The 24,156-nt window shown below is 46.8% G+C and overlaps 1 protein-coding gene across 6 annotated transcripts in view, besides 10 other annotated features; it reads right to left on the reverse strand.

The window, feature by feature from the left end:
• Positions 1 to 24,156, reverse strand: part of DIDO1 (death inducer-obliterator 1) — a 60,162-nt gene that overhangs the window by 34,253 nt on the left and 1,753 nt on the right. For 3 of the 6 annotated variants that reach the window (NM_033081.3, NM_080797.4, NM_022105.5), the window contains exon 2: positions 2,215 to 2,411. The gene's annotated coding sequence lies outside the window, so the exon portion shown is untranslated. Of the gene's footprint in view, positions 1 to 2,214; positions 2,412 to 14,436; positions 14,511 to 24,156 lie in introns of those variants that run through there. The other 3 variants (NM_001193369.2, NM_001193370.2, NM_080796.4) reach the window with 2 other exon arrangements.
• Positions 10,482 to 10,993: an enhancer, noted in NCBI's record as "H3K4me1 hESC enhancer chr20:61553829-61554340 (GRCh37/hg19 assembly coordinates)". NCBI's record gives its function as "activates a minimal SCP1, AML or CMV promoter by ChIP-STARR-seq in naive H9 embryonic stem cells {active_cell/tissue: H9 hESC(naive)}" and the evidence as "EXISTENCE:reporter gene assay evidence [ECO:0000049][PMID:30033119]".
• Positions 13,386 to 13,999: an enhancer, noted in NCBI's record as "H3K27ac hESC enhancer chr20:61556733-61557346 (GRCh37/hg19 assembly coordinates)". NCBI's record gives its function as "activates a minimal SCP1, AML or CMV promoter by ChIP-STARR-seq in primed H9 embryonic stem cells {active_cell/tissue: H9 hESC(primed)}" and the evidence as "EXISTENCE:reporter gene assay evidence [ECO:0000049][PMID:30033119]".
• Positions 13,608 to 13,657: an enhancer, noted in NCBI's record as "active region_18218". NCBI's record gives its function as "activates an Ori minimal core promoter by ATAC-STARR-seq in GM12878 lymphoblastoid cells {active_cell/tissue: GM12878}" and the evidence as "EXISTENCE:reporter gene assay evidence [ECO:0000049][PMID:35858748]".
• Positions 14,000 to 14,613: an enhancer, noted in NCBI's record as "H3K27ac hESC enhancer chr20:61557347-61557960 (GRCh37/hg19 assembly coordinates)". NCBI's record gives its function as "activates a minimal SCP1, AML or CMV promoter by ChIP-STARR-seq in primed H9 embryonic stem cells {active_cell/tissue: H9 hESC(primed)}" and the evidence as "EXISTENCE:reporter gene assay evidence [ECO:0000049][PMID:30033119]".
• Positions 14,000 to 14,697: a biological region, named in NCBI's record as "H3K27ac hESC enhancer GRCh37_chr20:61557347-61557960".
• Positions 14,098 to 14,187: a silencer, noted in NCBI's record as "silent region_13131". NCBI's record gives its function as "represses an Ori minimal core promoter by ATAC-STARR-seq in GM12878 lymphoblastoid cells {active_cell/tissue: GM12878}" and the evidence as "EXISTENCE:reporter gene assay evidence [ECO:0000049][PMID:35858748]".
• Positions 14,258 to 14,697: a silencer, noted in NCBI's record as "silent region_13132". NCBI's record gives its function as "represses an Ori minimal core promoter by ATAC-STARR-seq in GM12878 lymphoblastoid cells {active_cell/tissue: GM12878}" and the evidence as "EXISTENCE:reporter gene assay evidence [ECO:0000049][PMID:35858748]".
• Positions 15,496 to 16,344: an enhancer, noted in NCBI's record as "H3K27ac-H3K4me1 hESC enhancer chr20:61558843-61559691 (GRCh37/hg19 assembly coordinates)". NCBI's record gives its function as "activates a minimal SCP1, AML or CMV promoter by ChIP-STARR-seq in naive H9 embryonic stem cells {active_cell/tissue: H9 hESC(naive)}" and the evidence as "EXISTENCE:reporter gene assay evidence [ECO:0000049][PMID:30033119]".
• Positions 17,121 to 17,210: an enhancer, noted in NCBI's record as "active region_18219". NCBI's record gives its function as "activates an Ori minimal core promoter by ATAC-STARR-seq in GM12878 lymphoblastoid cells {active_cell/tissue: GM12878}" and the evidence as "EXISTENCE:reporter gene assay evidence [ECO:0000049][PMID:35858748]".
• Positions 17,341 to 17,390: a silencer, noted in NCBI's record as "silent region_13133". NCBI's record gives its function as "represses an Ori minimal core promoter by ATAC-STARR-seq in GM12878 lymphoblastoid cells {active_cell/tissue: GM12878}" and the evidence as "EXISTENCE:reporter gene assay evidence [ECO:0000049][PMID:35858748]".

Genomic DNA, 24,156 nt, shown 5'->3' on the forward strand with positions numbered 1-24,156 from the left:
ACGAGCTCCCCAGCACCTCCGCAGGCAGATGGGCTGCTCTGACCACAAGCACAGTGAACAAGACGCTGTGCCAGTTTGGGTGTGGCCTGCAAAGGGACCCAAGTCTGTTCTGGACTTTTGCAAGTATGGGCTGGCCACCACCATGCTGAAAAGAGGATATGAAGAAGCTGAGTCCCGACTTTCAGCTCCCCAACCAGGGGCTGGGGCCAGGAAGGATGCTATCACTATCTGGGACCCTCCATACCAGCCCTGCTGCCAAGTGAATGACCCTCACGGGCACAATGTGAGAGAACTGCCTAACTCCTGACCCAACAGATTGTGTGGTATGAAATAAACCTTGTTTTAGTCTACTGAGCTTTGGAGATATTGTTAGCAGCAAGACAACTGGGACACTTAGAAAACATGGTCAAGGCGATCACTTTAAGGTATATTTCTTTTTTTTTTTTTTTGAGACGGAGTCTTGCTCTGTCCCCAGGCTGGAGTTAGCCACTGTGCCAGGCCAGTATATTTTTTTTTCTGTATTATTTTTCACTTTCATTCTAATACATTACTAAAGAATCTTATTTATGAAACTTTTACTCTTGTTGAAATGACAAAAATCTGAAAAAGACAGTAGATACTTTGAGAATTCTTTTCCAAGCTGTCCAAGCTTTAATTACATTTCAATGCTAATGATGACTCTGATTTTATGCCATGTTCCATCCTGGGGGAAGGACTGGCATAAAATGAAAGCCTTAAAAAATATACAAAATGGGGCCGGGCCTGGTGGCTCAAGCCCATAATCCCAGCACTTCGGGAGGCCGAGGCAGGCAGACCACTTGAGGTTAGGAGTTCGAGACCAGCCTGGCCAACATGGTGAAACCCCATCTCTATTAAAAATACAAAAATTAGCTGGGCATGGTGGCAGGCGCCTGTAATCCCAGATACTTGGGAGGCTGAGGCAGGAGAATTGCTTGAATCCAGGAGGTGGAGGTTGCAGTAAGCCGAGATCGCACCACTGCACTCCAGCCTGGGCGAGCAAGACTCAGTCTCAAAAAAAAGAAAAAGAACGAAAATACAAAATGGAAAATTACTTGCAACCTGTAACCTGTGTTGTTCTTTTTGCTTCCCTCTAAATGCTGTCACTTCTCATTTTCCTGTCCAGCTAAAGATGCTGCCTGGCCGTGGCCTCCACGCTCTGTAAACATGACCCACACCCCCCAGGGCACTCCACGGAAGCCTTGGAGATAAGGGACACATCACTTCTATGCTCACCTGAAGTGACCCCATTGTTAAAGGACACAGCTCAACTCAATCAGGGCACCAGCAGCGACTCCAAGTCAGGGTGCAAACTCTGGAGGCTGCTGTGTGAGGGGGGCACTAGAGATGGTGGTAAACAGAAAGGGGGGCTTCCTTCACCAGCCAGGTGACCCCAGGCAAGTCACAAGGAACCGCTCTGATCCAGGAGGCAATGCTGACCTCAAAGATTAAGGGCAAAGCAGAGAATGCTGCTTACAAATATATATGGTAGAGCAATTATTAAACCACATCAGTTAAAATGGTTTATTCGTTCTCATTGGAAATTTTACATTTAGAAGAAGTTTTCTGCTTGTGCAAGCCAAAATATTTGCAAGAAATATGACTGTCATCTCAAAAGAGGGTCAAGCTCTCGTTTTCATGCAACACTTGGAGTTTCTAGTAAAGATGTAGTCTGAGGGGCTCGCACTAGCCTTTGCCCAGAAGGGCACAAAGTTGCAGTCGCCTCTGCCTCTGGGGGCCTATGAAGCTCCAACCCAGCTGAAAAGGGCTGCTGCATCCATGCTGGTAGCTTTCTACAGGAAGAGCTCTAGTTTATAAAACTGGGTTCTCATTAAAGAGAGAACAGGCTATTTGCACATGACCTATGCAAAACCTCTCAAATATTTAGATCATCTCTAGATTACATCATAGAAACAGTTGCTGTACTACACTGTTTTATAACATTTTTATTATTTTTTATTGTCAGATTATTATTTATTGTTTGTCCCCCAAATATTTCCAATCTGCAGCTGGTTGAATCCACAGATGCAGAATCTGCTGCTATAGAGACTGCTGATACAAATGGCTGAATGTATTTCAAATGAATACGAATACTACATTCTACTATCAGTTTCTTTACAAATGCCACTTTATAAATAGCAAATACAGACTTATTAAGTTAAAATTTTGTTGCTACTAACAGTGTTGATACCTTACCTGCTCCAACACTGAAAGCTTGGACACTTTTCCCTGAAATCCTAAATACAACCAAAAACCCTGGCAGACGAAACCTCTGGGTCCAAGCAGACAGCCAGGCTCACAACAACACTGTTGTCAGCCACTGTTCACGAGTAACAGGCTTCGTATTTTCAACAACTCAGATTATCTAGAGGCTGTTCCCGTGGAGTAAGCTCCTAAAAGAAAATAAGAAAATATTTTACATATCTTAAGTAAACTACGTATCGACAACAATTAAAAGGGAGTACCGAACTTCTCAAGTAACCTATTATTTGAGTGATACTGTGTGACCCACAAAGACAGCTTGGGGGTTGAAAACCAGCACGCAAGCAGTGTCCTTAAGGACCTCTACCCAGGACAGCAGATGCTACCAACCCCCAAGAGAAAGGGGCCGGGGCAGCGCAGGAAGGAGTGGAGTCCCAGGCTTGCCCCAGGGAGGCAGGCAGAGGCCCAGCCAGACCAGGGCCAGAGAGGAGTCGCCAAGCATCAGCTTCTTTTCCATTTGGAGCCTATGTCCGAGATGGACCCCACTCAATAAAATCCACCACAAAACAGAGGAACAAGAACAAAAAGTGAAAAGGCTGAACATCGAAATTATATAAGAATGTAATAATTGAAAATTCTTAATAATGTATCTGAATTATTTTAATTAAAAACAAGAAAAATTTTAGAATACTAATGTTTGTGACGTACTAAAATCAACACGATACAGTTCACCACGTGTGTTTAAGAAACAATTCTCTTGTATCCTCTCTCAACCAGTCACATCACAACACTCAAAGGTTCCAGGTGCCGAGTTTCTAGCTAGGTCCTTGCCCCAAAGCCGACACTTCCAAACTGAGCCCCAGCTCTCACCTCTTCCTCAGCCTCAAGACCAACTGCCTTCCCTCTGTGGTCTCCCTGGCAACCTCAGAACAAAGGGACAAACATTCCAACTCCCCTCCTTTTAAAGGGACAGTGACAACTGGGCATAGTGTTTCGCATCTGTGATCCCAGCTGCTTGGGAGGACTGCTTGAGCCCAGGAGTTCAACACCAGCCCAGGCAACGTGTCACCATGTAGACACCCCGTCTCTACAAAAAATAAAAATAAGACAGGCATTCCCTCTGATAAGCCAAACGGCATCGTCATAGTCACCATCTCTTCAATGTGGTAAAACTATCATCCTCAAAACAATTACTTCAAGAATTCAGAAACGACTGCTCAGAAAACACTGGAAATAAACTTTTATATTTTGCAACACTGAGCATTTAATTTATTTTACTTTACTTTTTAAAGAGTTGGCATCTTGCTTTGTTGCCCAGGCTGGAGTGCAGTGGCCCAATCATGGCTCACTACAGTCTCAAACTCCGGGGCTCAAGTGATCCTCCTGGCTTAGCCTCATGAGCAACTGGGACTACAGATGCGTGCCACTATGCCCAGCTAATTTTTGAAAAAAATTCTTTTAGAGACAGGGTTTTGCTATGTTATCCAGGCTGGTCTTGAACTGCTGGCCTCAAGCAATCCTCCTGCCTCAGCCTCCAGAGTTTTGGGGAGTACATGAACGAGCCACCATGCCCAGCCAACACTGAACATTTATAAAAGCAAAGAAATTAAGAAGTTCTCGGGAACGAAAACTGATTTTTAAAAATTCAATTTATGTTAATCTGCGAATAAACACGCTACTAGATTTGAGTTCTGAGTAATCAGAAAAATGTAGTTATTTCTGTTAAGTAGAATTCAATGAAGGATATACCTTCGGAAAAGATCAGATCACTTTATATTTACAAAACTGATTTCATAATGTCTTCAACAGAGAAAATTTACTATAACATTTCAGTCAGCTTGTAAAATAAAAACATATGTATATCAAGGCACAAGCAAAAAAACCTGTTCTAACACAACTTTTTGTGTGTATAATTAGTGTGTAATTCTACACACTACACAGCCCATCACAGGGGGAATGTGTTCATAAAACTGCAACCATATTGTATCAGTAACAACTTTTCCCCAGAAAGAAAAATGTGGGTATCCTTGAAGCTGGGAAGTGAACAAACTACAGGTTAAAACAGAATGTACCAAATTTAATATTTCCACATTTCTAAGCACATTTTTTTCCCCAGCTGAAAACTGCTTCATTTTCTATTGACTAGAAGCAGCTGATGAGCGGCGATTCAAGCAGAGGACACACACTGACTTCCAAATGCTTGAATGGCGGCTCTCAAACCTTTTGTCTCAAGACACTTTTACAAGTTGAGAACACCAAAGAGCTTTTGTTTATGTGGAATGTATTGCTATTTTCAAAATTCTAAGTATGTATTAAAAATAAACCTATTAATACATTAATAGTATCTTTAAATGAAAGTTATTTCTAAAACAAACAAAAATGAACAGGAAGAGTGGCCCTGTTGTACATTTTTGCAAATTTCTGGCATAACCGAAGACAGCTCCATGTTCATGTCTACTTCTGCCCTCAATCTGTTCCCATAGAGTGTTTCAGCTAAAACATGTCATCAAAATCTTGCCTCACACAGATAGGTCTTTAGAATGGAGTATTGTAACCATCTTCACATAACTGGATGTTCACTGATACTACACCAACTCTCGCCAAGGAGCAGTTTCATAAAAGTTAGCTGAAACAGAATTTGCAGCCTTTGTCAAGGAACTTCTCCCTTTCTTTCATGAAAACTGACTGCTGTGTTCACTCTGAACACGTCCTTGCACTCTGGACCCATGTGCATGCTGTTCACCTGGATGACACGGGTTCAAGTAACAGACAGATTCTCAATGTCCACACATCTCATCGGATAGCATAAAACAAACATTTTTTTTCCTGTTGCCCAGGATGGAGTGCAGTGGTGCAATCAAGGATCACTGCAGCCTCAGCACCTCCCCCACCCACACCACCGCCAGGCTCAAAGCGGTCTTCCCACCTCACCCTCCCCAGTAGCTGGGACTACAGGTGCATGCCACCATGCCCAGGTAATTTTTGCATTTTTTTTTGTAGAGACAGGGTCTTACTATGTTGCCCAAGCTGGTCTCAAACTCCTGGGATCAAGTGATCTACCCACCTCCGCCTTCCAAAGTGCTGGGATTACAAGTGTGAGTCACCTCACCTGGCCGATAATGTCGGGTCCAATCTCCAAGAAGACTTTAATTACTAGAAAGCCATCAGGTTTACAATGGCAGATACAAGTTTTCTAAAATTCCAATTTTCACCCCAAAGCTCAAATTTTATCCTTAGCAACAAATACTGTTCGTTTTTTCTTTGAGACATCACTCGTTTTGGACAAAACGCCTGCCACATGCTGAGTCTGAAAACTGTCCTCCGTCTGTTGTTCTGTCAGGGACAGACAGCGTTTCCGAGACCACTCGGCTCCCAGCTCAATCCCCTAGGGCTGTGCGTGGACAGTACCACGTGGGGATGCAGCAGAAGCTTTATATATAACTTGACATTTAATCACAGCGAAAGTAAAAAAGATGTATGTTTGCGGGTTCCGAAAAAAATTAATATTTACTGCATCATCAGGGACATTATTTGGGAAAATTGGCATATTCTAAACATTCGGTGCCCATGCACGGTGCTGAAGAGGGCTCCAATCTGCCCTGTGCCACCGATGCAAATGTCAAACTCACCAGAAAAGGCCTGTACTATTAGACTATTATTATGCAGAAGTCATCTTTACCTCTTAGCCCCAGAAAGGGCTTCAAGGACTTCCCCCTCAGGAGTCCATGAAACACAAAGAACTGTGGCAACATGCCATTTCTACCAGTTTAGGAGTACACTGGATATGTGCAAAGCAGTAATACATACCTATGCTTCAGACATCAGAAGAGACTTTAAACATTTCCTTCCACAAGGGTTCTGTAACTACCTGTTAATCTTCCCTCAGATTCCCCAACTCACCAAAACAGTAAGCAGCCAAAAGTGAAATTTCTTAAAAACCAAATAAAAATATCTTCCCAAAAGGTCAGCTCTGTTACTTTAAAAAGCCTAACTGCAACTATTACAATGCATGGGTTTGCAACCACTGCAAATCTGTATGCTCAACTTTTACTACTCTAAAATCTGCTTGAAGTCATTAACTCAAGCGTGCCCACTTCCAGGTTGTGGTACAGCTGCATGATCAGGGCTCACTGCAGCCTCTACCTCATAGGTTCAAACGATCCTTCTGCCTCAACCTGAGTAGCTGGGACACCACTGGCGTGAGCCACAGTGCCCAGCTCCCACCTAAAGATTTTCAGTTCCAAAAACTTGAGACTAGTTTCTGAGTAATTAATCTCCAAGACACTTTAAAATATGACATACAACCATAATTAAGTTTCTATTTTCATAACATCGCACCTCCAGGAAAAGAGCTCTGACTTCTAAGCAAAAAGATAAAACAAAAATGCATAGTTTACCTCACCTAGTGGCAAACATTCTGTTTCTTCAAACCTCACATTCCCCTGAAACAATATTCAAAACAATTTTAACCCGCCAGTCAGAAATTATAATGCTACAATAAAACCTCACTATTCTAAACTTCATTATTTTCGCTAATTCTGACAGGGTAGGCCAAAGTTTACATTTATTTATATTTTGCCTATTAAGGGTCTCCTGGCTCATCAATCTGTTTATTATGCAGATGAGGAGCAACTGAGAAGACACTAGGTAAAAGATCTTTAAACTACCACAAATGAAGGAAAGATTACCCAATGAAAGACTCTTGATAGCTCAGTTTTCATTAATGCGACAGTCACTAGGAGAATATGCCTAGAAACTTCAGATGACATCCCCAAATGCGACGTGTTCTCCAGCCACCAGCAGCAGCCGTTCATGTACCATGATGGCCCACTCAAAGCTCCACCAGCTTGCGGCAGGAAACACTGTGCTGCACTCACCAAACAGGAAAGAGATTTGGGCCCACAAGGAACTGAAGAAGCCCAACTTTCATTTACTTTAGTATCTATGCAGAATCTGACTCAATTGCATAGATTACATTTAAATCCTTCAGACGGCAAATTCAAAGTTTTGCTGCTTACCAAATAATACCGTCATTACAAAAATTATTCTGGGCCGGGTGCGGTGGCTCATGCCTGCACTTCGGGAGGCTGAGGCAGGTGGATCACCTGAGGTCAGGAGTTTGAGACCAGCCTGGCCAACATGGTGAAATCCCCATCTCTACTAAAAACACAAAAATTAGCAGGGCTTGGTGGCAGGTGCCTGTAGTCCCAGCTACTTGGGAGGCTGAGGCAGGAGAATCACTTAAACCCGGGAAGCGGAGGTTGCAGTGAGCTGAGATCGTGCCACTGTACTCCAGCCTGGGCAACAAGAGCAAAACTCCCTCTCAAAGAAGAAAAAAAAAAAGCAGCAAGGGTGCCACAACACAGTATGTTTCTCACAAAGAAAATGTAGAGAAAAATCCAGAAACAACCTATTGTTGTTTTACATTTCTTGGGTATTTGTGTTTTTATAGATACGCGGAGACAAAAAGCAAAACTTGTTACTGAAAAACCTGCTGAGGACTAATGCTTTGGCCAGCCCCCGGCTACAGCCGGGCCGCCAAGCTCCCCATGTGAGCTTGCAACAATCCTGCCATTTCCCTCTATCTACTTCCTAGTGCAAAACACAGGCTGGTGACCTTGGTGGGCAACTCAGGTGGGAAATTTCAACTCTCCAAATGAATGCCAGGAACCAGAAACAGTCACATAAAATCATTTATCGAGGTGAAGGAGAAGTGAGGTTTATTGTTCTCTATTTAATGGCTGGACATAAAGTCTCCTAAACCACTACCTTTGATGGACTCCTCTTGTCTCAGTAAAAAAGAAAGTATGGTTTCAAACACTTAAGATACGGTCCCAATTCTACATACCAGGATTCCTGTTGCTCTTAATAAAAGATTACCACTTGGGCCCTGGTGAGGACCACAATGCACAGGTTCTTATCCCCATGAAGAAATCCACCTCATGCCGCAAGTGTGGCAGTGTGAGCTCCCCGGGTACCATGTGAGTGGGGTGCGCTGCGGGAGGTCATCCCAGCAGGGTACTGTGGGGGCTGCTTCCCCTCAAGGGCATCTGTTTATTACAGGTTTAAATCACTGTTCCTTTATGTTCTCCTCGGTCCACACCCTTAGAGACCTGCATAATTCCATGGCCCCAAGCACAGCCTACTCTTGCCTCCCCCCAACCCCCGATTTTCACTGCTGCAAAGGATTCAGCAAGGGGCTGTGTAGGGCACTTTGAGGGAGAGGTGTGTACTGGAACAGCTTTACCGGTGACAGCGCATCAGATTGATTCCACACTTGCCCCAAGGGGCAAGCACATGGTTGAGCCACTAAAAATTGTTCAAAGACACAGCTTATCTTCCTAAAAGTAATCAATTTCCCCAAGTGTTTAGAGCTATTTTACAACTCTTAGAGAAGTGGTTCTCAAAGCGTGGTCCAGGGGTCCTTTTGGGAGGCCCCCGGATCAAAGCAGTCTGCACAACACCAACATTCCATGCTGTTTCCACAGCCACTCTGAGTATATGCTAGAGCATTTCAGAAGCTGAACGGAGACACTAAGTTTGAATTCGGAAGGAGAATCCAGAAGCTGTCAGTTAAGCCAAACAGATTTGTGAAAACAAAACCATCTTTCTCATTGTTTTCGTCATTGAAAACAGGTTCCACTAAATGGTTTACTTATGTTAATATATAATGGTTTACAATTTTACTTTATTTATTTGAGATGGAGTCTCGCTCTCACTTAGGCTGGAGTGGAGTGGCACGATCTCAGCTCACTGCAACCTCCGCCTCCTGGGTTCAAGGGATTCTCCTGCCTCAGCCTCCCGAGTAGCTGGGATTACAGGCGTGTGCCACCATGCCGAGTTATTTTTTTTGTGTCTTTAGTAGAGAAAGGGTTTCACCATGTTGGCCAGGCTGGTCTTGAACTCCTGACCTCAGGTGATCCGCCCACCTTGGCCTCCCAAAGTGCTAGGATTACAGGCATGAGCCACCGTGCCCGGCTGGTTTCCAATTTTAAATAGAAGGCACTTCAGCATTTAAATGACTCATTTTTAAATGTCAAACATGGTGACTATCAATAGATATAACAAAAGCTCTTTGGGGTCTTCCCTGCTTTTTAGGAGTGTAAAGCAGTCCTGGGTCCTGCCAGTCTGGTAACCGCTGACACAGCAGCGCCTTCCACTGCTGGAGCCTGAAAGGCTGCTCCCCGAGGCCATTCCGGTTCAGTCAGGATCCTAGTGGCAGTGACAGGTACTGCTTTAGCATTCACTTTTTCCAGACACCCTGTCTACTCTCATTCAGTTTCATGTGATTACTGACCAGGCAGGGATTGCCAAGTGAGATGATGGCCACCCTAAGTTCAGGTGGAGAGAATGGGGTTTCTTCTTTAAAAACCCTTCTCTCACAAGAATTTGCTTCTCAAATTGGAGCTGCAGCCAATTTTTTTTTTTTTTTTTTGGAGACAGGGTCTCTGTCGCCCAGGCTGGAGGGCAATGGAGCGACTGATCACGGCTCACTGCAGCCTCAATCTCCCTGGGCTCAGGTTATCCTTCTACCTCAGCCTCCTGAGTAACTGGGACTACAAGCATGCACTACAATGCCCAGCTATTGTGTGTGTGTGTATATCCACAATATATATATACTATATATATCCACTACATATACCCGCTATATATATATCCACAATATATATACACACTATATATATATCCACAATATATATACACTATATATGTCCAAAATATATATACACTATATATGTCCACAATATATATACACACTATACATATGTCCACAATATATATACACTATATATATATCCACACAATATATATCCACACGATATATATACACACAATATATATATACACACACTATATACACTATATACACACTATATATACACACTATATATATACACACACACACACACATATATACATATATACACACACACACACACAAACAATGCCCGGCTCTTTTATATGTATGTGTGTGTGTGTGTATATATATATGTACATATATATACACACACACACATATATATATATACACACACACACATATATATACACACACACACAGGTGTCTACCTGGCCTGTGTCTCCAGGGTCTTGGGAGCATCTCTGGGGCCTACTCCCCTCAGTGCAGGTTCAGCATTCCCAGTCCTGACAGCTGCAGCCAGCAGTGCCCACCCCCACCCAGACATTTATAACCAGGACAAGCCCTCAGTTAAGCAGATGGGGGGCTCACTCAAGGGGGAACCTGTCTATGAATGCAGGGTTCAACCCCAGCTGCAAACGATAGCGGGGGTGGGGGGGTACAGTGTACCAGGCAGTGTATCTGTCTAGGAACGCGGGGGCCACAGGGTATCAGGCAGTGCATCTAAGGCCTGCACTTTCCTGTCTGTGAAATGGGGACGGTAACGACCTCACAGCTTCCTACAAGGTTTTCTGAAGCGACATCCTGTGCCAAATCATCTGCGGCAAGTGTGCAACAGACGGTAGGTGCCACCTAAGAAAGTGACACAGCCTGTGCTGGCGAGGGCTTGGAGAGAAAGGCCCTCTTAGGCGAGTCTATTTGTCCGACATATTTGCCAACAGCCCTTTATGGGCTTGGCACAGGGAAGAGAGCGGGTGACATACTGTTCTCATGGAGGGCAGGGAGTGCTTCACGATGACCCAGGAGAAATTAAGTAGGAAGTACACACTAACTTATGAGTGTTTTTTTTCTCACAAAGGTGACAAACTGAACACAAACTAACAGACCAGTTTGAAAAATCAAGAAACATCTATATAGTGAAATTCTTTTTGTTGGGGGTGGGGGGTGGACAGAGTCTTGCTCTGTCACCCAGGCTGGAGAGCAGTAGCAGAACCACGGCTCACTACAGCCTGGAACTCCTGGCTTCAAGGGGTCCTCTGGCCTCTGGCCTCAGCCTCCCAAAGTGCTGGGACTACAGGAGCACATCAGCATGCTTGGCCTAATTATTATTATTTTTTTTTTGAGACAGAGTCTCACTGTCGCCCAGGCTGGAGTGCAGTGGTGCGGTCTCGGCTCACTGCAACCTCGACCTCCCAGGTTCAAGCGATTCTCCCACCTCGGCCTCCCAAGTAGCTGGGATTACAGGCACGTACCACCACACCCAGCTAATTTTTGTATTTTTAGTTAGAGATGGGGTTTCACCATATTGGCCAGGCTGGTCTTGAACTCCTGACAAGTGATCCACCCATCTTGGCCTCCCAAAGTGCTGGGATTCCAGGCACGACCCACCATGCCCGGCCGGGAATTCTTTAAGGGTGATGAATCATCACATGCACAGCCGTGAGAAAAACTCCCTGGCACCTGAGTGAGAGCCGCAGACAAGCCGGCCAGGGCAGTGGCCACAGCCTCCAACGCATCCCGTTCACTAGTGCAAAACAGCTGTAACGTGGAGCTTTTCTGGACAGCACCCTTTCTAGTGTCTTTACTTTCTATTTTTACATAATGTTTAAGTTTCCTGTATGTGTATTACTTTTGTAATCAAACACATTAAGGTATCTTCATTTTGGAAAAAAAGTTGATTTACCTTATTATAAAGGTATATTAAGTACCACTTAAATGTCTATATCAGCATACGCAAAACAAAACCACGGCATCAAAATTTGATACCCAAGGAGAGAAATGCCTCCTTTACAACTTACACACGATTACAACCGCCTATTAAGTTTTATGGACATGGTTACAGAATTCTTATTAAAATATGTACAATTACCTATTCAACTTCATATAACAACTTAACCTCAAAATTACTACTCAAAAAATAAAATGAGGCCTAGACAACACAGACTGTCTCACAGATGACTGTGTACACGTACATGAAATGAGCAAACTGGACTTTGTTCTTTGACCTCCTCTTTCCCAATTAGTACATTTCCATTAACTGTTAATTATAGAACTTTTGTAATGCAATTAACACACATCATTTGATAGTAGTCATAAAAAGGCTGATCTTAGTATCCACTGTAAGGGACCCCGTCATTTAAATAAGAAATGTAAGTGAGAGACTCTGTTTAGAGAGAATTTTCTAGTGGTCTTCTGAGCCTGCCAGAGAGATGAGACCTCTCAGGCAAGGGCACAGTGCAGGGACCCACAGATAGTAGGGAGTCACCTGTTAAACACTTTCAATCTTAGCTCTTCAAGAGCCAAATAAGCCACTTGGTATTATGGGACAGGCATATAAAAAGGAAAAACGTGTCTTGTTTACAGAGATTCCAAACAATGAAGACGTGGCACAGCTTAAAAATAAACACTGAAGAGAAGCACCCTACTGGGCTCCACAGAACTGACCTTAAGGGAATTATGACCCTAAGGCTGTAGAAAAACTCACAGTATCAACAGCAGAACCTGCCAACTTCACCGCGAACAAAACGGGAGCCAATGCCCATTCCAATCATTTCCTCCTTACATGAAGAAACCCCAGCACCCTCCAAGGCCCAACCGATGATCCGCACGTCCTAGACAAGCCTTTGCGAGGCTCACATATGCACATGCAACATGGGCTGGGCTGTCTGGTAACCATGGGTACGGCTGGGCAGTCAATCACAAATTATCTTATTTGTGCCCTGTCTTCTCACCACAGCACAATGAGCTCTGCTTGACATAGTCTGAATTCAATCAACTACTAATAAGGGACAGCCTCTGGTGGAAAGCCTGAAAAAATTCAAGATACGCGCTTTTCCAAAACAAGAGGTATCTTATGAAACTTGCTGAAACAAGTCTACAAGAACAGACATCTCCTCCCCATGTACACAGCAAGTAGGAAAACAAGTGTGCATTAAGCAGGGAGTTTCACAACAGGGCTGTGTCTGTCTTCCTGGGTGACACTTCTGAGATGTCTATGCCGTATTTAAAATAGTGAAATAGTCACAGACACACATACACTAACAGCAACCCAAAGGGCCACTAAAGAGCCCTAGGCTCCAGGTAAACGAGTTGGCAACACCTGATTTAAAGGAAGGAGCTGGAATAATCTCTCAAGTTCCCCAGTGAACTTGTCTCCAGGACTGGGACAGGGGCCACCTTGGTCACTGCTGTATCCCTCGTGCTAACAGTAAGCAATGAATGCTCATTTAAAAAAAGACTGTATTTACTCCTTAAAAGGCACTGCTAAGGACCTTTCTCAGAACTGTATTTCAACCAAGTCATATGTGGCCCTACGGAAACCATGGAACACGGGGTATATAGCAAAGTTATGTGAATATACCGAAAAGACGTTCCCATCTGCCTTTCCCTCCTCTAAGTCCCTGAGTACACTAGGCTCAAATCTCATTCCATCAGCAGACAGATGACACGGATATCGAAGGCCCAGGCACAAGTTAAAGAGTATTTTCAATAACTGGTAACGCAGTAAGCTACTGCTACCTGTGGCCCAAACTCTAAACTTATATATTAAAGTCCTTTATTTAGAGCAGAAAAGCCGGCCTTGACCTCCACTGTCTCAGAACCGCGAGAAGGAGCCCCGGACGCCGCAGCGGAGGCAGCACGAGCACCCCTCCCGCCGAGCGCAAGAGCGGGCCCTTTCGGCTTCCGGGGTCACTGGAAGGCAAAATGTGTCACAAATACGGCCAGTACAAACCAACGCAACAAACTATTCCACAAAAAAACTGAAAACCAGCGCGGGGAGGTAAGGACACACTCTTCAGAAAAGCGAATCCGGGCTCTTCGCGCTTCCTGCAGCGCCAGCCGCCCCTGCAGTGCCGGAATCCCCCGAAGGCACGCCAGAAGCTAAGCCGGCCACCCCGACCGCACCCAAGGCCCGGGAGGAAGCGCCGAGGTCCCCGAGAATGCCTAGGGAAACCAGCTGCGCTTACAAGCCAGCTACGCAGCCCCCGAGCCCCGGGCCGCACTCGCCCAGGCCAGCCCTGCGCTCTTCCCCGCGAGCGGCCGCCCCGACTCCCACCCTCGGAACCGTTCCAGCCGCGACCACCGAGTGCTCGCCAGTCCCCTCGACCTCACGCAGCCCACCAGGGCCGGCGTCTGAGGCCCGCGCCCCAGGCCGCGGCGGCTCTGACCGGCCCCGCCCGCTCGCCCGCCCGCCCGCCCGCTCCTTCCCTTCCGCGGCCGCCATCTTCTCGGCGGGAGCGGCCTGTGCGGGATCCGCGGCTCTCGCCAGCCGGGCTCCGATGCCGGCCCCGCCCCGCTCCCGAGGGCGGCCCAAGCGGCGGCCGGCTCTTCTACCCGGCGCCCGGGACGCCACTTACCGCAGGCCGCAGGCCTCTAGGGTCTCGCAGCCATTTCCCCGAACGCCGCGGAGTGGGCGGACGGCCACCGAGATGGCGCGGGGCTAGAGCGGCGCCCCCGCGCGGCGGGCGGAGGACGAGACCGGCCACCGAGACGCTGCGGGGCTAGAGCGGAGCCCGGGCTGCGAAGCCCGGCCCCGGACTGCGCGCATGCGCCCGTCTTTCATACCTGCACTCCGGACGCGCCCTTCGGGTCTGCACTGACAATGACTTGCTTGCATCCTTTGTGGACACCTTATTTCCCCGACTCCAAGAGTGAAAGCTGGGGCAGTGCCCTTGCGGGGATCCCTCGGAACAGCCCGGGCAGGGCGCAGGCGGAACGTGGATGCTAGCCCCGAGGGACTGCACTCCGCCAGGATTTCGCTCTTAAGACCGATAAACCCTTCAAGTCGGTGGGGATAGAAAGCTCCTGGGCTAAATTTGTAAGAGGTGTAGGGGGGCGGGGACAGGGGATAAAAGAAGAAAAGGCCCAGGTTTTCTCTTCCAGATTGTGTTTCTCAAAACGCAGGCCCCTGACGGCCTCGGCTGGGAATGGCAGCGAGGGGCGAGGTCCAGGTGTGGGCGGGGTTTCTCTCCAACTTGAAGACCCTACCTGCTGCCTCCCCACCCCAAGCTCGGCTCCAGAAACCAGGAGCGTGGGGGTGGGGGGGAGAGAAAGGAGCACAGCGAGGAAGGGAGGCGGGCACGCTGGACCTCTAGGCCCCAGGGACCTTGGCGGTGTGGTCCCAAAGCTCTGCCTCCTCCCACCATGTCAATCCTACACTCAGAACTACTGACCAGTAGCTAGAACTCAAAGAACGCATGGACATGTTTGCCCACAGGGGTTGGAGGGAAAGATTAGACACTTACTATCAAGAGAGGGGAAAGTGAGGTATGGTAGATGTCAACCTTCCATGTGGATTTTCTTCAGTTCGCTCAATAGTAACTAGAGTGACACTCTATCACCTGTCTGTCCCCAGATACTGCAGGAAAGAGACTGGGAGGGGGCAGGAGGGGCAGCTGTTGCCTCGAGGCACCATGGGCACTGGCCACTTGCTCCGAGGGCAGGGACCTGGGGGGGGTGGAGGTGGCCCCATTACTTGTTTCTGCTTCTGTGAACAGTGATACGCTACCTGGAAGCATGGACCATCTAGCCTTTGGCGTTGGCCCTGGCCAAGAGTAAAAGGGGCCCAGAGTGCCGTAAAGCTGCCCCTAATACAGAGGCTTCTGCGATGCTTCCATGGATGAACCAGGGGCTTTGAGGCAGGTGTGCTTTTTAATAATACCGCTGAAGATTACAGGGTCTGCTAGTTTCTGAGGCAGACTTAGTTTTCTTCAAAGGAATACAACGCAGCTTGTTTTTGCTGGTGTGGCCCATTAGGACCACATTAATAGAATCTGGCAGGGATGGGCTTGACAGTCTTCCATCTTGAGTGTGATCTCAGGTTGCAAAGAGGGCTTTTTGCTCTCAGACATGGGGTAGTGGGAAGCTTAGAAGACAGACGGGGTTGAGACCACCTTTAACAAGCAGTGAGATCTTGGGCAAGCTCTCTGTTAAAGGAGGGCTCACATGCTGAGGCCCAGGTGAAGACCACATGAGGCCTCCCTACAAGAGGCTCTCTCTAAATCCAACTGGTATGGGGGAACCTCAGCCCAGTCTCTTTAGCTGAGGATCTTTAAACCAGCCACAATTTGTTTCTGCAAGACGGTGAGATTTTTAAGAGATTTTAACTCTTGGGTACAGTTTCACGCTGGGCACTCAGGAGAGATAGATGGAAAGGCACTAAGGGAATAGAAAGAGTGGACAAGGCGGCTCAGGGACAAGAGAACCAAGAGGAAGAAAAAGGCAGGAAAACATGAGGAAAGGGAACCCTCACTCAGCTCACCGCAGTGCTCAGCGATACGCAGAATGCCTTCCTTCCTGCAAGTCCAGAGGATACTGGAACCTGCCTCTCGTTCTCATCTCCCCCGCCCCCCAGCAGAAGCTGGCTCGGCTGTGGAGGCCTGGCCAGACTATCCACTCTGGCCTTCCCCACCTACAAGGTGACGAAGTCAGCTTTATCCCAGCTTACCTGCCGTCACTATTCCTGGGAGCTGCCCTCCCTGGTGAGAAAGGCATTTGGAGAATCTACAGTCTGGGTATTTGAATTTGAACTCCACTAGCAAAAGAATACTTTTTCCTAACCGAATTTATTTTAAAAGTAAAACCCAAAGGAGGAAACAAACTCTTCAGTTGTTTCAATAAATTGTTCCTTAAATATCCCCAATTCACAAACAAAACCCCACAAGTAGCACCGATTTACAACAGGATGTGGCCCAGAAAGCAGGAAGGGGGCCAAGAGCGCTCCAGCAGGAAGCTTAATAGGTGGTCCATGGAGAAAAACACGATGGGTGCATCACAAATAGGTGTAAACAGTACACTTTTGTAATGTGTAGACACCAGTTTCTGCAACCCCCATGCCACGCAAAGTTTCAGGGAAAGTCTTTGAAAGTACAATCCGGAAAACTCAGCAATTCTTAAAAAAAAATGGCTTTCCGCTGTTATAAGCCTCCTTCCTAAGACTCAGGGTCCGCAGCAGAATACCCTGACCCAAAATAAAAATACTATGACAAAAATACTCCAGGAGGCAGCCGGCTTTACTTCGTTTAAAGCCGGATTTCGCTTAGTCCCGTGAAAGCGAAGGAGCACCAGCGCTTCCTGATTCCGCACAGTTCTCTCGGCAGAGACGGCCCGTCCTCTCCAAGAACCGGAAGCCGGACAGCGTCAGGACGTTTTATTCTTCTCACCTGGGATTCAGAGAGGCAGCGGCCAAGGACAGGGCCCCCGCCGAGGCCACCGGGCAGCGTCCAGGTCTCGGCCTTTGGGAGGGGAGCAGCGGGGGAGGGGCACGGGGAGGGGCGAGGGCGGGGCGCGCCTGGGCCTCGGCGCTGGGCTCCTCCTCTGCCCGCTCCGGGGGACACCCACAGGATTCTTGCAGACCTCTGCCGAGGCAGGATGGAGGCCTGCAGGGATGCACCGCGGGCCCGCGACCCGGGCGGCCGGAACATAGTTCTTTCTGGCCGGAGATCGGCCCGGTCGTGAGTCGTGTCTGTGCCAGGCCCCCCACGCTGTGCTCCAGGGCCTCAGTGCCCGGCGCGCCGGGGGCTGTATCGCCAGCCACTTGGGGCAGGAAAAAGGAATCACAAAATACAACCCTCTCCTTTACCCAGGAGGAGAACGTGGATTCCCAGAAAAAAGAAAAAGTGTATATATATATATATATGCCTACTGTTTTCTTATTGCTAACAAAAACTTCAGCCACTGTTTTGTTTTTTTTTTTTGAGAAACTGATGAATTTTCTTTACTTTTACGTTGTATAAGGCCAGCTAACTTTAACAGTTAATTTTAGATAAATCAACTCACCAATGCTAAAAGGTGTCACAATCAAATCGTCCACTACTTCCCCTCAAAGCAAACACGAAAGCACTGCCTTTGGCTCCTTTGAAGAATACTAACCAGATCTGCCAGGCGCGGTGGTTCAAGCCTGTTCCCAGCACTTAGGTAGGCCGAGGTGGGTGGATCGCCTGAGGTCCTGAGGTTAGGAGTTCAAGACCAGCCTGACCAACATGGTGAAACCCCATCTCTACTAAAAATACAAAAATTAGCCGGGCGTGGTGGCAGGCGCCTGTAATCCCAGCTACTCGGGAGGCTAAGGTAGGAGAATCGCTTGAACCCGCTGCACTCCAGCCTGGGTGACAGCGAGACTCCGTCTCAAAGAAACAAACAAACAAAAAAAAAAAAAACACAGATCTTTGTCTACCAAAGGGCAAATGCTACGTTTGTGCATCACTGAGTAACAGCACTGCCAGAAAAGGCAACTTCACAGAATTCACCCACTCAATGAATTCCGCTGAATGCTGTTTTGAGACAACCAACACAGAGGGAGAGCATGGACGATAGTGGGTAACATAAGGGGAACCGGCAAGATGGAAAAGGGCCAGGAAACAAAAGAATTCAAGGAAAAACAGAAACAGAAGTTAAACTTTGTGTTCCAACCCCAAAGACCTCTAGAAAGCTGTGGGATGTGATGGAGCTACACGTTCTATGCGGCATATGAGAATCATACCAATTTTCTGTCTTTTAGACAAAAGAATAAATGTGAAATAGGAAAAAGGGAGGGAAATGAGATGGGAGGAGGGCATCACCCCCTTTAATGCTGTACCAAATTACTATACAAACTGAATTGTTGTAATTAGAATTATGGACAGTGTCTTATCATTTGTATGTTACCAGAAACCTGTGCTATGACTTTTAACTAGAAAAACAACAAGGGATGATGGATCTTTCTTTGGTCACATTAGCCTCTGTAAGTTACTCAAGACAGCTGCAATGAACTGACAACAATATCCACAAACAAGGCAAAAGGAACTTCTCATGGCAGGGAACTGAATCTGGATGTTATTCTCAGTTCTGTCATTTTCCAGATACCTTTAGAAAGAATGAGCTGCAGTTTGTGTTGTTGTTTTCCTTGAGACAAGGTCTCACCCTGTTGCCAGGCTGGAGTGCAGTAGTGTGATCTTGGCTGTCTGCAACCTCTGCCTCCCAGGCTCAAGCAACCCTCCTGCCTCACCCTCCCGAGTAGCTGGGACTACAGGTGCATGCCACCACAACTGGCTAGTTTTTGTATTTTTTGTAGAGATGGGGTTTCACTATGTTGCCCAGGCTGGTCTCGAACTCCAGGGATCCACTCGCCTCTGCCTCCCAAAGTGCTGGGATTCCGAAGGCATGAGCCACAGTGCCTGGCCTAAGCTGCAGTATTTCTATATCTTCTGCTAAGGAGTGAACACATTAATACAGAACCATGCTCATCACTCCTTCCTCTGAGAATGTTTCATGTTTCTCTAAGGTGTCTAAGTTTTCTCTTTGAGGTCAGTGAAAAGTAAATAAAAACAACTTTGGAATAAATCAATATTTTAGTTAAGTATAGGGCAAAAAACTATTTCTTTTCTGACTGGTTTTATCTCAACCATCTTTAAAGGAACACAGCAAACAAGCCAAAAAAACGCTTGGACAGATTCTGACAGAATAAGAGTAAAGTGGTTGTACCCAAATAGGACATTTACCCTTACAGGCTCTTCACACCACGGAATAGAGACCCGCGAAAAAGGGGAAACGAACCCATAGACGACTGAATTCCTGCACCTGCTGGCGAGCACCAGGAGGAAGGTGCAGGGATGTCCATGAGGTCAGAGACAGCCATCAGTTCACACTGCATTCCAGACGCAATGGGCCCCGGCCCCATTCTTGGGCCTTCTACCTAACCTCAATGCCTTGGGAGTATGGGACCTTAGGGGTAAGGATAGGGCTACAATTGTGCAGGCTACAATTAAAGATTTTTTTCTTAAATGAAAACACTTTAAGAAGTGAAAGAGACTCCAGCAACCTTCCAGAATTTGTCCAGATATGAATAACTATATAAATTAATTCCTGCTCTTGCTTAGTTCACAAAAACAAAATGGTAAAACTGAGAAAGAGTGTGTTTGGAGGAAATACCAACAACAACAACAAAGACTGAGGTATTAGCAGTTTCCAAAAGACACCCAAATGGGAACTGGAGGTTTTTTCCCTTCAGGGAGGTCTTGCTTTGTTGACCTGGCTGGTCTCAAACTCCTGGCCTCAAGGGATTCCCCTGTCTCAGCCTCCCCAAAGTGCTGGGATTGTAGGTGTGAGCCACCCTGCCTCTTTCATTCCAATAGGAAAGTATTTAAAGAGTAAATGTAGGGCCAGGCACGGTGGCTCACGCCTGTAATCCTGACACTTTGGGAGGCCCAGGAGAGAGGATCACTTGAGCCCAGGAGTTGAAGGCCAGCCTGGGAAACATAGGAACTCTTATTTCTACTTCTACCTGCCCATCAGACACGTGATCACAACAGCTGCATGCATACAAATAACTTAAGACACAGAGAGAACTATCCACATGTATGTGTGTATATTTACATATATTTTTTGTTAATTTTTATAAAAAAGAAAAGTCAGATCCCAAACCAGTAACTGTCTATCAAATCCTGACCAGCCAGGTTCAAACTACATAATCAAACTCAAATGAAATAGTACATAAACAATGCTTTGACCATGTACATTGCTACTCAAAATACTCTTTGGCCTTTCCCACTGGTCTGCAATGGCAGGACTGTATCACCTTCCCTCCTACCACATTTGTTTCAGGTAACAGTATGCTAGATACGGTTTGTCTCAACCTCAGCAGGAGTTAAAGGTTTTAAAAAAATAAAAATAAAAATCAAGAAAAGATTATTCTTGCTCTCACCCAAACAAACTTACAAAATATTCAGTGCTTTCTGATTTAGTGGTATAATCTAGAAAGGGAAATAAAATCAGGCAAAAAGAGGGAGGGGGAAGGTCACCTATATCAAACAATCACCAGTGAAGATTCTTTACAGGGTCTGGGTTCACCAGACACATGGTGTCAGAATATGTGCAGCAGGCCAGGCGCCATGGCTCATGCCTGTATTCCCAGCATTTTGGGAGGCCCAGGCAGGTGGATCACCTGAGGTCTGGAGTTCGAGACCAGCCTGACCAACATGAAGAAACCCCATCTCTACTAACAATACAAAATTAGCCGGGCGTGGTGGCGCATGTCTGTAATCCCAGTTACTCAGGAGGCTGAGGCAGGAGAATCGCTTAAACCGGTAGGCGGAGGTTGCAGTGAGCCAAGATCGTGCCATTGCACTCCAGCCTGGGCAACAAGAGTGAAATTCTGTCTCAAACAAAAAAACAACAACAAAAGAATATGTGCAGCAGACTAAATAGTAAAATTCTTCCTTACCTCTTTCCAACATCTCTAATTGTTTAAAATACTGTGAAAAGTGAAGTTCATGAAAATTGAGGTCTGAGTGTTTCCTACCTACTTCTGCTAACCATTCTAAGCATCAACAACTGATGGGTTTATCAATTATCCTGAAAAGTAAGGTGGTTTGATTTGCCCAATCTCTTTGAAAGCCTGAAGTCTCCAGTATGTAGGGGTTTGATTTTATGCTTTTGGGTTTTGAGAGTAAAACAAAACATCCATGGGAATAATGTGGTTTTGAAACATGGCTGATATCCTGGTTTTTAAACATTCTATGATTTGAGTAAAGGAAGCACTCTATGCAGTGGTTCACACCTGTAATCCCAGCACTCTGGGAGGCTGAGGCAGGAAGACTGCTTGCACGCAGAAGTTTGAGAACAGCCTGGGCAACATAGTGAGACCTCTCCTCTACAAAAAATAAACAAAATTAGCTGGGTGTGGTGGCTTCCGCCTGTAGTCCCAGCTACTCAAGAGGCTAACATGGGAGGATTAGCTGGGAGGTGTAGGTTGCAGTGAGCCATTATCACACCATTGCACTCCAGCCTGGGCAAACTGCTCTCCCCTTTTTAAAAACTCATTAATGTTCTTTTAAGATTAATATACCTTTAGCACTCCTCTTTCTGTTCATCTCTTTCAATATGAAACAACTCAAGTTCAAAGCCACCACCTCAGCTTGCAAGACACTGGAAGCTCTGAACACCTGGTTGCCCCTCAGCTGACTGTAAGGGCCAAGCCTTTGGTTTCTCTCATCCACATGCCCACCTCTGTCATAGGAAAGCTCAGGCAGTTGATGAATCCAGCAGGCTGAAGTCCTTGTCACTGTCCCAGATGCCAACCCGTGTGGCCCTGCACCCTCTCCTGTCCCGGGACCCACCTACCTCTTTCCTGCTCTCCTGCACTCTTGGTGAGCCTCCATGCTGGTGGCTTCAGGGCTCTGGCCCAGGCTCTCCTCCTCTCCCTCCACCCATCCCTTCTCCACAGAGACTTCATGCACACCTGGCTGTAGTTGCCTTTATCTCTGCCTGGATCTGGGCACCATCATTCACCTGCTCCCCTGGCATCTCCACGTGAATGCCTCAAATGCACTTCAAAACCTACCTAACACATGCAAAATGAGCTTAGGACTTCTGACCTCCCTACTACATACTTCCAGGCTCTTCTCTGGCGTTCCCTATCCAGAGGATGGTCCCACCACCCTATAAATTCATAGGCCAGAAGCTGAGAAATTATCCTTGACCCCCCTCCCTGCTCCTCAGTCTCACCTGCTGCTGCAGCGTTTTGTGGCATCTAGCTCACTGCTCACTTCTCAGTACATAAGTGCATGGCCCTAATGGCTTCTGAACACCTTCAACATACTACGCTGTCTTCACCTCACCCCTGCTCACCACACTCCAATGTTTCCCATTCCCATCACATCTCTCAACTTCTTGCTCTCTCACCAAAAACCATCAAATGGGGAGTTTTGGCACCTTCACCCTGGACTTCCCTGCCGCCTGGAAACTGCTAACATAGCTTCTCGAAACTGGACACCCTGTGGCTTCAGGGAGCGCCTTTGAAGCCCCTGGTTCTTGTCAGACCCCCCGGCCACTTTCTTGCTACCCTTCATAGGCAGCTTCTTCCTTAGTGAATACAGCTTGCAGCTCTGCATTCTGGACTTGATCCACTCCTTGTCTCCATGGGCTTCCTCTGAATACTGTACCCATCAACTCTCAACTCTAGCCCTGCTCTTCCCCTTGAGCTTTAGATGTGTCCCACAGGCACCTCCAATTGAATGAGGCCCACGGTGAACTCACCACCTTTCCCTCGTTGTTGCACCTCCTTCTTCTTCATGATCATTCTCAGTTGGTGCCACCACCTCATCAGCTGGGCTACTCACCCGCATCACTCTGGTCTTCCTTCTTAGCTCCCACAAATTGTCAGTCACCAAGGACTGCTCATTTCCATCCTGACTGAAGGTCTCTTTCCATTTTTGCTAGTATTGCTTCCAGTTAAGATCCTCATAATCATTCACTCATTTATTCCTTCGTCACTCAACAAATAAATATTTATGGAGCTCCTATTACGATTTAGCCATAATCAACTCACATGAAGCTTACCATTTTATGCTGAATCATGACATCCCATCAGACAGCAACCACACGGACCGTGTGCTAAGAGCTACGAAGAGCTAAGTTAGGATTCTGTGCAAGCATAAAGGAAAGGCACTCAATCCAGCTTTGTTAGGGAAGACTTCCCCGAGAAAGCCACGTCTCTACTGAGGAGGTGAGCAGGAGTTAGCCTAGGGAAGGCTGTTAGCTAGGGCCCAGACTGAGAGCACAGCGATAACAAAGCTTGTTGACATGAGAAAACCTCCAATCAGCTGGGATGGCTGGAGCAGAGAGTAAGATCAGGAGTGCAGACTTATAGCTGCGCTAACTTTACACAGGCAACTGGGGAGTCCCCAAGGGATGTTAGAAGGATAGAGTCAATGAGTGATGGCTTTTGGAGAGATCACCCTGTCTGCTATGTGAGAGGTAGTGACAGGACTTCTGGAGCTCAACAGGAGTTACGGAGACATCCTGGCAATCCAAAAAGCAAAGATGATGGCTTCCACGTTATGGTGGAAGAGGCTGGGAAACAACACAAAGGAGCCAGTTTCTAGAGAGGATTAAGGAGGGGGCTCGAGCAGGACTTGGTAACCGGTTGGCTGTTGGGAGGAGGAGCATTAACCTGTGACCCACAGGCAGGCACTGAGACAGCCTCTTTGGACTGGAATGTTAAGGAATGTCGCCTTAAGGCGCTAGCACTCAAGCTTTCTGCTCGTGCATCCCCTTGCACACTTTCTCCTTGACGTTCAGGCTGGGCATGGTGGCTGACG

The sequence above is a fragment of the Homo sapiens genome, chromosome 20, assembly GCF_000001405.40.
Source record: "Homo sapiens chromosome 20, GRCh38.p14 Primary Assembly".
Taxonomy (NCBI): domain Eukaryota; kingdom Metazoa; phylum Chordata; class Mammalia; order Primates; family Hominidae; genus Homo; species Homo sapiens.